General features: G+C 43.4%; 1 protein-coding gene and 1 long non-coding RNA gene across 8 annotated transcripts in view, besides 1 other annotated feature; one reads left to right on the forward strand and one right to left on the reverse strand.

Moving 5' to 3' along the window:
• ASTN2 (astrotactin 2) overlaps nucleotides 1-12,595 on the reverse strand; it is a 991,946-nt gene that overhangs the window by 70,375 nt on the left and 908,976 nt on the right. The gene's annotated exons all lie outside the window — the stretch shown is intronic.
• Nucleotides 10,797-12,595, forward strand: part of ASTN2-AS1 (ASTN2 antisense RNA 1) — a 58,011-nt gene continuing 56,212 nt past the window's right edge. The window contains exon 1 of the long non-coding RNA NR_033973.1: nucleotides 10,797-10,858. This is a non-coding gene — a long non-coding RNA (ASTN2 antisense RNA 1). The remainder of the gene's footprint in view (nucleotides 10,859-12,595) is intronic.
• Nucleotides 11,997-12,166: an enhancer, noted in NCBI's record as "experimental_106426 CRE fragment used in MPRA reporter constructs". NCBI's record gives its function as "activates a minimal promoter by MPRAs in K562 erythroleukemia cells, with activity observed for the introgressed 9:119267847 variant allele {active_cell/tissue: K562}" and the evidence as "EXISTENCE:reporter gene assay evidence [ECO:0000049][PMID:34662402]".

Consider the following 12,595-nt stretch of genomic DNA (forward strand, 5'->3'; position numbering starts at 1 on the left):
AGCCTTGCTCTCATTACCTTCCACAGAAAATGTTAATCATGATTCTGCTGCAGCTTCAGAATCAACCCAACAAAGCATGGATCAATTTTTCTAGAGGCCCCACCCCCTATTCCTCAATTCCCTCTCCCTCTCCTTTCAGCAGTCCCTCAATCCTCCTCCTTGTTTCCCCTCTCTCTCTCTTTCTCCCCTCACCCTCTTGCTTCTGAATGAGTTGAGGTCACCGTCAAAGCCGGCCACATGAGCAAATTGAAAACAGGTTGGGAGAAAAGCAGAAAAGAAATTCCAGAATGGAAGGAGCAGTGGGAGTGGGGGGATGTGGGGGTGGGGACGGCAAGTTTTTTAGCCCAGGTGAGGAGAAAGGTCCCCAGCTCAGGGCTCCACACTCTTTTCGGGAAACACCAAGAGGATTTAGGAGTCGTCACTCTGGGCCTGGCCTCTCTAACCTGCAGATGCTCTTTGTCATGGTGCCCAGGGAGAAGCAGAGCTCTCTCTGCATTTCCTTTACTTGGGCAACTGTAGAAATTCATTATGAGAACTTGTCAGGGACAAAATGCATCTTTAAGGGCCTCATACCTATCAGCTGCAGTTGGTTTGTTTCTTCTGAAACATGGTGTTATTTTAAATCTGAAGAAGCAGTGTGTAGAGATCCTCACCTTTATTGTAATGGCAGTAGGAGGTAGTAGAAAGAGAGTGGGTTTTGGGGAGCAGATGACACCTAGTTTTGAAGCCAGACCTACCACTTATGAACTATATTATGTAGAGATGGATGATTAAACTCTCAGAGACTGCTTCTTCATCTGAAAAGATGATCCTATCAATTTCAGAGAGTCAGGTGAGGATTGAGTAAGAGAATATTTATAATATGTCTGATACATGAATAGCTTACAAATGTTAGTGCCCCCCTCACCCCTGCTCCCTCAGGTCTGAATAATTTGTCTGATGGCAAAATTTTTAGTTATCACGCTCAGTTGCTTTTAGGTGCATTACATCATATCTAACTCCCTAAAACCTTCCTGTTTTTTTGCAAAAAGAAGACATTTTGAATGGAAGGAAGGAATGAAATAAGAAACAAAGAAAGAAAGGAAGCAAAAAGAGGGAAATAAAAATGTTATTTGGCTTTTATTACATGGCATCAACAACGCTAGACATTTTTACTTATATTGTCTTGGTTAAATATTCAAAACAATCCATCTTGCTTAAAATTCGATAAAACCTAATGAATTCAGTGAATTGTGCTTTTGCAGATGAGGAAACAGTTTCATCTGTAAATAACTTTCTCACAAAAATCTACCTAGGAATGTCAGAGTAAAGGCTGAAGTCAGGACATTCAGCACCCAAAGTCTGTGCCTTTCCTACTGCACATTTCCCTCCAGACTGCGAGATGCCTGGGGTGGGAATTCTGTTTCAGTCACCCTTGTGTTACTGGTGTCCAGCATAGGGCTGATGATGAAGCTATTTACTGAAGCCTGTGAAACTGAACTTCAGTGGTTGAAGCCTGGATCTGCTCCTATTTACTCGACATCAGCACCTGGCATTAGAACTCTCTCTTGGGATAGCCAGGCTGCCTCCTGCATAACCTTTCAGGAGTAAATAGGACACAAATAATACAGGAAAGGAGGAAATGACGTAAAGATAAGGGCTCCAAAAAAAGGGAATAGTGATCTAGCAAATACCTACTGAGAGTTTCTGTGTGCCAGGCATCGTGCTGAGACTTCAGGCTCATCCTCATGCCTGCCCTCTAGTGGACACCTGTTGGTTTGACTGGCTATAAAGGCATGCCTCTTTCTACCAACAGCACCTGAGTTTTCCTTTGGGGAACCAGCTCTCCCCCAATCTCAGTCTAAACAATTTAGGTAGAGCTAAGGCCCCTTTTATCCTTCAGAGACTGGCATGTGATCGATGGCCAGCCATTTCATGTCAAAGGTCAAAAAGACAAGTGACCTAGGCTTAATCAATCAGACTAACTCCAGGTACAGACACCAACCAAGTTCTGATGACATTATTTGAAGCCCTGGACCCAGTTGTGTCTGAGGCCTAGATCTACCCTTGGGTATTTCAGATACATGAGTTAGTATTTTTGCATTTTTGCAACTTTCCATTTGTTTTCTGTTCCTTGCAATCAGGAGTCCTCTCAAATACAAATCCTATGAGGTATGTTTTATGATTGCCATTTTATAAATGAAAAAATAATGCTCACAGATCTAAATCAAGTAGTCCAAAGTCATACTCCATCTAAATAAGAAGGCTGGAATTCAGATTCAAAGCTGTCAGACTCCAAAACCCGAGCCTTTCCTATCATAAAACGCTGCCTAGGGTGAGGGATACAAAGACTACTAATTAACAAGAATTCACGGGGTATCTCCAGTGTCCTGCTTCCTCGGGCCCCTTCTTCCTCACTTCCTGGGCTCCTTTCCTCACTCACGCATTCCAGCCATGCAGACATTCTTCCTCCTCCTCTAACATGCCAAACATACTCCCACCACAGGGCTTTTGCACCTGTGGTTTCCATGGAGCCTTCTTCCCCTTGTCGTTGTATGGCTTACTCCCTCTCCTTTCCCAAATCCTTGCTCAAATGTCACTTGCTCAGAAAGGCCTTCTCTGGCCACTCAGTCTACAGGAGCATCCACTATCACCCTTTACCCTCTTAACCCATTTATCTTTACAAAATTTATCACTGTCTCTCATATATTGATGGATTGATATATTGCCTGTATCCCCTGCTGTAAACCCTGTGAGTAAGAGAATTTGTTCACTTAGAATGGTGTCTGTACACAGTAGGTTTTCCATAAATATTTATATAGTGAGTGAATGTATCTGTTGTGTGCTTCAAACTGAGCTGATGGCTGGGAGCACAAGCATAAAGAACACTTTCGTTTGAATTCCCTGGAAAGCAGAGCTTAAGAACAATGGCTTGGGTGCAGAAGGTTTATTTGGGAGGTGATTCCAGGGAGCAGGTATGGGGTAAAGGGCAGAGTAAGACAGGGAAGAGAAAAAGTCAATATAAAGGTATATCTTCAAGTTTGCTACTGTACATGATGGGACCTAATTCTGCAAGACCCTTTTAAGGAGGGAACAAGATACCCCCCAGAACTGTTTGGCTGGAAGTCGGGGAGATGGGGCACTTATCTACCAATTCCTGATTCCCATTGGTTGGGTCCTGTTTTAGTCTATTCTCATGCTGCAATTAAAGACATATCTGAGACTGGGTAATTTATAAGAAAAAGAGGTTTAATGAACTCACAGTTCCACATGGCTGGGGAGGCCTCAACATCATGGTGGAAAGCAAAGGAGGAGCAAAGGCACGTCTTACGTGGTGGCAGGCAAGAGAGCTTGTGCAGGGGAACTGTCCTTTATAAAACCATCAGATCTCCTGAGAATTATTCACTATCATGAGAACAGCACAGGTAAAACCTGCCCCCATGATTCAATTACCTCCCACCAGGGTCCCTCCCATAACACATGGGGATTATGGGAACTATAATTCAAGATGAGACTTGGTTGGGGACACAGCCAAACCATGTCAAGTCCTTCACCCAGGAGTGTTATTTCCCCACACTTTTTTAAAGTTGTACTTGCACACTGGCCTAGGGAGCTCCTTCAATCTCTCATAAGGCTGTGGGGCAGAAAGTGCAAGTGTGCATCTGAGGTCACTGGCAGCACAAAGTGAGCCTGAGTGTGCACAGAGCTGCTCACCACAGCTGCAGCTGAAATAGCCATGGGCCAAGAGGATATGGCATGGCCCCAGAGGCATCTGCTATAAAGATACAGTCTCTGCCTTTAAGGAGTTTGTAAAAAGAGCAACTGACTTGTCTTCCTTCTTGAGGTCTAGGACAAACTTGTTAGCCTCACTGTTCAAAGAGTTCACAAGCAGTTATCGAACACCCTCTAGGCGCCAGGGAAAGGACTACAACTGTGGTCACAGCTCTGACCCACAGGAACAAAACCTCTTCCCTGTGATGCTCACAGTTTTGCAAGGGAGAACGGCAAGGACTGCTTTTACGTGCAGCCAACCAAGGAGTCCTGCAACTTATGATTAATACTGAATTTAATAGTATTAACCTCAACATTAATATGCACTTGGCTTATAAAGCCTTCCTTTTTCTACTGCTGGATTAATTAGAGCCATAAAAGCCCTCGTCATCCCCACTGTCTGGAGGACAAATGATGCTAATGCATTTGGCTGCAGCGGGTATTGCTAACATGTGTGGGGAAAGCTGATTTGGGGACCAGGCTGGGGAGAAGGGGGAGGGATGAAGGAAGGCCAAGTTCTCCTCCCCCCCAATCACTCTTTAAGGACCACAGTGTGAGTTCACTGCCTTTGAAGCACTCATCCATGGAGGGTTTTCTTTTACTTTTTTCCTTTTTAAAATTCCATTCCCAAATGTTATATCATTGTAAAGTGGAAAGAACCAACTGTACGATGTGCTTCCTATCAGATTCTCAGTTCCCCTAATACTTCCAACTTTCTCTGGGCCAAACACTTCATTCAACATCTCCCTCTCTGTACAAAAAGGCAAAAACCACGAGGTTGCTGACGGTGGGCCCTAGGAGCCCCTCTGTCCACAAATGTGATGAAAAAGCATAGTATCTGGCAGGGTTGAAGTTATGATTCTTATTTTGTGAAGAAGAAAAAAGAGGCTCAGAGAGTTAAGGCAAGCCTTCCAAACACACAGCTACTACCCAGCAAAGCTAGAACTTGAACCCAGGTTGATCCAATTCCAAAGCCTGTTGTTTTTCCACCACAACAGGCACTTCTTAATTGCTCTGTCTCTGTGAACTTCAGTCTCCTTGTCTCTAAAATAAGGATATCAGGGCCAGGCACAGTGAGTGTCCCATGCCTGTAATCCCAGTTCTTGGGGAAGCTAAGGCAGGAGGATCACTTGAGGCCAGGAGGTCAAGATCAGCTTGGACAGCATAGCAAGACCCCATCTCTAAAAAAAAACAAAAAACAAAAAACAAAAAACAGCCAGGTGTGGTGGCATGTGTCTGTAGCCCTAGCTATATGAGAGGCTGAAGTGGAAGGATCACTTAAGCCCAGGAGATCAAGGTTGCAGTGAGCTGTGACTGTGCCACTGCACTCCAGCCTGGGCAATAGAGTGAGACCCTACCTCAAAAAAAAAAAAGGAGGATGTCAGTATCTACTCTACAAGAAAGTGAAGAAGAGTACATTAAATCCATTAAAGGATTTATAATCTGCAAAACATGATGTATATGTCAGTAGATGTTGCTAAGGAAAATTCACACAGTGCCAGGTAAGGTAATAAAAATGCCAGGTCAGTACTTCTGATACATATGCCAATGTTCAGCTCCAAGGACATAGCAGGGCACAAAAAATGTGATAGTGAAGGATCTTTAATAACCTGGAAACATAGCCATCTTAAACAAAGCAGAATTTGAATGCCAATACACTAACTCACTTCACACACGAAGAAAAAAGTTGGGGTATGAGGATGCTATGCTGCAGGAAAATGTATTCCTGAGATTAGAGCTTCCATAACTCTTCCCTAGTTCTCTAAAGAGCTGGCTGCTTCTGTTCCATCATCTCAGCTGAAGTTCCATCCCTTTAGAATCCTCTGCACCACCCCGACTAATGCAAATCCAAACTGCCCACTCTCAGTTATGCCCCACCAGAGAACTCTTGATTTTATTCCAAGCACTAGTGATAATTTGTAGTTACTGTGTTTGTCACTTTATTTACCTCTTTATTTGCTTTTTATTACTAAAATATTAATTCATGAGTTTAGAAGCCTTGTCCATGTTGTTCATGATTTCCCCAGTGTCTAGCAGAGTGTGGGGGGCACAGTAGCTATTCATTAAAGGTCGATTGAATGAATCAAGGCAGGGATGATGCCGGAGAGGTACTCATGACTCAGTCAAGGTTTTGTAAACACGTGTGGACAACTAATGTTCATCCCTTAAGTTTTTGCTCATACCCAATGTCTTTCAAAAAGCTCTTCTTGGTCACTCTTTGCCTTCACCTGGCAAAGTTTAGGGCCCCTCAACTGAGTTCCCACAGCTCCCTGTGTCCCTCTCTATTATAGTCCATAACTCATTGTCCTGTAATTACATATGTAGTTGTCTTCCTCCCCTCATGCACTGGGAGGATTATGGTAAGGTACCTGGCCTGTCTTAGTCACCACCTGAGCCCTAGTGCCTAGGCTTATGCAGAACAAGTGAGTCAATGAATAAGCATGGCTTCCTTTACCTGCTGGAAGAAAGCCCATGGGGTGGAAGATTGGGGGGATGCTAGGACCTCATTATGCATCAACCTTGGAGTTGTGTTGGAAACAGCAATCCCATGAGGCCACTGGGTCTTATGTAAAAGAGTACTGAGTAGAGATTCAGGGGACTGGTCAGTGCCCCTACCTTCTTATGAGATTCTGTACGAATAAGTTCATCTCCTCATCCACCAAAGCACAGGACCATAATAAAAAGAATGCTCATCAAGTTCTCCACCAGCCTTTACCTGATTCAGTCTTGCAACCCACCTAACTCCTGTTTATTTTCCTCTATATTTCTCTATCACTTTATCTATCTGCCAGACACCACACCCCAGGAAATCTCCCTAATTGATATGATTGCTTATTGATGCCTGACGAACCCTGGAGTTTCTGCCCAGCCTCACCCTTTGCTACAGCACCTCAGCCACCCACACTGGTTACCCATTAACCCTTTGACTCTACTATCCCTGTGCAGTGAGGATTGCTCTTCTCTTTCCACTGCCCTCTCCTTTTGTAAAACCCTTTTTAGTTTACAATGTATGCCTCCACCACCTCATTAAATTTAAGCTTCACAAGTGCATGATGAGGTGGGCACAGCACAATGGAAGTGAAAATTTCCATTTAGGGGAAGGTGAATCTCCGGAAAGGAATGTGGGTAGCTGAAGAGGTACTGGAACCAGATCACACATTTCTAACCCCTGATCCCGTGCTGCTGTAGCTATAGCTTGTGCTCTTGTCTTCTCATCCAGGCTGTGAGCTGAGCCATGACTAATACAGGCTTACAGCCACCCCCTGCAGTGGCTAACAAGGAACCCACCCTTACTGTGTCCCTCCAAACATGTTAGGCAATTCAATTCACTAACATGCTGATATCAAATCTCCTTTGAGAGGGAAAAGCAGCAGAACAGACAATATTGTGCTCAGCCCTGGGTTTGAATTCTGGCTTTGCTAAATGATTCTAAGCAAGTGACGTCATCTTTTTAAGCCTCATTTTCCACATCTGTAAAATGAATGTGAAAATATCTATCTCTAGGGAATCAATGAACTCAAATAAGAATTAATTTAGATAGTGTATGGGAAGCACCTAGCACATTGCCTTGCGTATGGTAAATAATAAACAGCAGCTTTGCTATTATCACTGTTATTTTAAAAAATACCAATTCATGAAACACTTTGTGTGGTGTAAGCAGAAAGGAAAAACTCAACAAACTAGGGAAAGTGAATTATCCTCATGTATTTAGCACTTTTTGATCCTCCCAAACCAGAACTGCACAAACTATGTGTCCCAAGATTAAAAACAGCTGAATGCCCAAACTTCCCTCCCTTTTCTAAATATACACCTCAAAGCCTGCCATTAACTAATAGCTGGGATATCTTCAGTAGATAAGGGAGACTATTTGTCTTTCTTCTTCTCCCCTAGGGTGGGAGAAGAACCCAAGCTCCAAACCCAAGTCTGACCAGGACTCCCCAAAGGCAATCTCTGGGAACCCAAAAGCACCAGTGGGGTGTTTGGTTTTTTGTTCTTGCGATAGTTTACTGAGAATGATGATTTCCAATTTCATCCATGTCCCTACAAAGGACATGAACTCATCCTTTTTTATGCCTGCATAGTATTCCATGGTGTATATGTGCCACATTTTCTTAATCCAGTCTATCATTGTTGGACATTTGGGTTGGTTCCAAGTCTTTGCTATGGTGAATAGTGCCGCAATAAACATACGTGTGCATGTGTCTTTATAGCAGCATGATTTATAGTCCTTTGGGTATATACCCAGTAATGGGATGGCTGGGTCAAATGGTATTTCTAGTTCTAGATCCCTGAGGAATCGCCACACTGACTTCCAGAATGGTTGAACTAGTTTACAGTCCCACCAACAGTGTAAAAGTGTTCCTATTTCTCCACATCCTCTCCAGCACCTGTTGTCATAGGTGGGAATTGAACAATGAGAACACATGGACACAGGAAGGGGAACATCACACTCTGGGGACTGTTGTGGGGTGGGGGCAGGGGGGAGGGATAGCACTGGGAGATATACCTAATGCTAGATGATGAGTTAGTGGGTGCAGCGCACCAGCACGTCACATGTATCCATATGTAACTAACCTGCACATTGTGCACGCGTACCCTAAAACTTAAAGTATAATAATAAAAAAAAAAAACAGCACCAGTGGGATTGAATGAGGTCCTGAGCCCATCCCATTCCCCAAACTCAGTTCTCCTCCATACTCGCACTTGCACACACACACAAAAAGCATATCCCCCTCCCCACTCCATCCCTGGAGGCAACAAGCCTCCAGAAGGGTGGGGAGAAGGCCCAAGCAAAGATGAGTCAGGTTTTCTGGTCATGCAAGCAACACCATTTAACCAGGCTGAGGTGAATCATTGAGAAGGAGGTGGGACCTGGGAGGTGGCAGAGAGAGGTAGATTTCCAAATGTGTGTGTGTGTGTGTATGTGTATGCATGCATGTATGTGAGAGAGAGAGACAGAGAGACAGGGACAGAGAGGCAGAGAGACATAGAGACACACAGAGAGAGACAGAGAGAGACACACACAAAAAACAAACACAGAGAGGAGACACACAACACACAGACACAAAGACACACACTCACACACAGAGAGAGGAGAGAGAGAGAGAAATAGAGAAAGAGACCAAGAGAGAACTACAGCCAGAAAATACTCAGAAAGACTGAAGCAGAAACTGAGAGCCACAGTGAGAGACAGAGGAGAAATGGAGAGAGAAAGAGAGAGACATAGATAAGAACACATAGGGCCAAAGACAGAGAACCAGAAATAAAAATGCAGAAAAAAGACAATCAGAGAGAAGTGGATAGAAGGTCAGAGACCTAGAAAGACAGATAGAAATAGAGAGACATAGACAGGAGTTGGTGAGGAGAGAGAGAGAGAAACAGAGAAAATCGGGGTCAGAAAGACCAAGACCAAGGCAAACAAGAAAAACAGAAGGAAGAAAGGAAAGAAGGAAGGAAGGAAGGAAGGAAGGAAGGAAGGAAGGAAGGAAGGAAGGAATGAATGAATGAATGAGGGAAGGAAGGAGAGAAGGAAGGAAGGAAGATGGAAGGAAAGAAAAAAGGAAGGAGGTAGAAAAGAAGAAGAGAATGAAGGAGGGAGGGAGAGAGGGAAGGAAGGAAGATGAAAGGAAAGAAAAAAGAGAGGAAGGAAAGAAGAAGGGAAGGAAGGAGGAAAGGAGGGAGGGAGGGAAGAAAGATGGAAGGAAAGAAAAAAAGGAAGGAGGAAGAAAAGAAGGGAAGGAAGGAGAGAGGGAGGGAGAGAGGGAAGGAAGGAAGATGAAAGGAAAGAAAAAAGGAGGAAGGAAAGAAGAAGGGAAGGAAGAAAGGAAGGAAGGAAGGAGGGAGGAAGGGAAGGAAGATGGAAGAAAAGAAAAAAGGAAGGAGAAAGGAAAGAAGGGAAGGAAGTAAGGAAAGAAGAAAGGAGAAAGGAAGGAAGAAGGAAGAAGGAGGGAGGAAGGAAGGAAGGAAGGGCACGGCAGGACCAGCTAGAAGGGCATCTTCTGGAGATGGATGCCCTTGAGTGACCAGGGAAGCTTTACTTCTGGTCTCACCGCTACTCGGGGCAGATGATCTGGGAGGAGGAGGGGGGGAGAGTGAGAGGGTGACTGGCATTTCCATTCAGCTCCCCTCATCTATCCCTCCCACCCACATATAGAGGTTTTCACTCTATTAAAATGACTCCCTTGCTTCCTCATTTATGTTAAAATTTTCCTTGAAATAAAGAAAAGGAAACAAGGTCACCCTTCAATCCACAATGAAAACTATAAAAGCGTTTTTAGGCTTGGAAAATTTAGCTGGTCAGTTTTTCCTACTGTTTAATAACTGCCTTGGGTTACACTGAATGAGTAAACATGTTTTACAAGCTTCTAATTCATACCTAACCCTATGAGTTCACAGCTTTACATAATATATACACACACATATACTATATATACACACATGCACACATACATACTGCAATGTAAAATATAAACACACATACATACTTAATATATATATGAGTGTGTTCGTGTGGTGTAAGTAATCTTTCCAATTTGTGCAGCTCATTAGGGCTTACAAAGCACGCTCTTTCCTCATTTAATCCTCACGATAATCCTGTGAGGTAGGCAGTTTAGGATTATCATCCCCAGTTTACAGGTACCTGTGGTTAAGGTAGAGAGACCAAGAACCCACAGGTCTCTAAGGCATCACAGTCCATATCACAGTTCTGCTCTCCATAGTCCCAAAGCTGACTTCATGAACTTGGGTAGTGCAGTGCCCACTTCTGGACCTGCAAGGACCCAAAACCATGGGGATCCTGAGGCATCATCTGTTTCAGGGCTTCATTGTACAGACAGGAAAACTAAAGCTCAGACTATTACTGCTAGCCTATAGGGTGCCTCTGTGCAAATTGGAAAAACAATAGAAAAATAAAAATCATCTCTTTCTTAAGATACTTCCCTCCCTTGTTCCAATATTCTGATTTGTTAGAACAAGACACTTGATCAATGATTAATACATGTTTATGATGTCTACAATTGGAATGGTGAGCTTTGGAATGTGGTAGCATTGTGAGCAGCAAAACCTGTGCGACTGCATCTGACATCGCCAGGATGGGGGCCCAACCAAGGTGAGGGCAAAGAGGACGGTAAGGGAGAAAGAAAGAAAGAAGGGAAGGTAAGATGGGAGAGACAGCACCTACTTTCTGAGGTCTAAGAAGAAAACCCATTTTACTTAAAGGACATTGAGATAATAATAATAACTAGTGTTTATTAAGCTCTTAATCTTTTCTGATACTTACAGTAACCCTGTGAGAGTGTTTCATATTGCTAACTACTGCTTGTATTTCTATCTTACACTCTCAAGTAATAATAATATTATTCAGAATAACAGTGACAATTGATATAACTTAAGCATTCACAATGTTAGATACTATGCCTAGTATTTCATGTACTGCATCTCATTTCAGCTTAATAACAATATGCCAGCCTGGGCGACATAGTAAGACCTCATCTCTACAAAAGTACAAAAATTAACTGGGTGTTGTATCGTGCATCTGTAGCTCCAGCTACTCAGGAAGCTGAGGTGGGAGGATCACTTGAGCCTGGGAAGTCAAGGCTGCAGTGAGCCAAGATAGTACCACTGCCCTCTAGCCTGGATGACCAAGTGAAATCCTGTCTCAAAAAAAAAAAAAAAAAAACCCAAAACAACAACAACAAAAAACACAAGTTAGCTTATTTCCCCAAATTTACAAATGAGTATATCAAGATTCAGAGAGATCCACTAACTTGCCTAAGGTCACTTGGTTAAATTGCGCAACTGAGATTTGACTATTATGAGGGAAGAGTAAAGGTCAGACACACTTTCACATCCTCTAAAAGTGACTGAAATGCTTTACATTCTCAATAATTACTAACTATGCTAGCACATCAGAGAACCCTACTTTGCATATGGGGCATCAATATCTCTGACTTCTCATCTCGTGTGCTTTTAGTATCTGATAGTCTACTCATTCCTTTAATCGCTTTGAGGCTACTGATGAATGGAACCATCTAGATCATGAATCCAGGGAGTCTCTGCTCTGTGGAAACAATGTTGGTTCCCGCTCAGCTTTTCCCTGGTGCCCAGCTCGCCTCCCTGTTTCCACCTCTCCCTTACTGGATACCCAATCAATGCAAATGGATCTGAGTAGTCATTAGAATTTATTTTTTAAGAAAAGCAAGGCAAAACCAAACCAAAACCAGAAGTCTGCCACAATATGCAAAGAACCACCTTTGGATTCCAATAAAACTGGGCTTCCTACCTTTAGCATCCTCTTGTGTAAGACAGGAATAAGAAGTATTACCATTTTAATAGAATGTTTCAAGGATTCAATGTGTAAAATATCTGACCCAGTGCTTCTCCTTAATGTATAAAATGTATTCCAAAACAAGAAGTGGCGATGGGTCGGGGGCACTCATGTTGCACTAGAACTTTACAGTGTACCTGGTATTTTCATATCCATCAACTCCTAGGCAATCCAAAGCCTCACTACTGCTCCAGCTAGAGCGCCTTCCCTCTCCCTTTGCTGACTACACTTCAATGACTGTGCCCTCCTTGGTGCTCCTGAGGATGCTCCAGGGGCTTTGCTATTGCTACATCCTCAGTCTGGAGCAGTCTACATTCAGCTAGCCACATGGTTCACTTCCTCCCACTTTCCGGTCTCTGCTCAAACATCACACCCTCAAAGAGGTTTGTCCTGATCACTGTAACTAAATGGTATGCCCCCAACCTCTATCCTCATACCCTATTTTTCTTTCAAACACATAGTACACTTTGACTCTGTATTGCACATCTATTACTTTACCATCATTGCCTCCCAACCCTC

Source organism: Homo sapiens, chromosome 9 (genome assembly GCF_000001405.40).
Source record: "Homo sapiens chromosome 9, GRCh38.p14 Primary Assembly".
Lineage (NCBI taxonomy): Eukaryota > Metazoa > Chordata > Mammalia > Primates > Hominidae > Homo > Homo sapiens.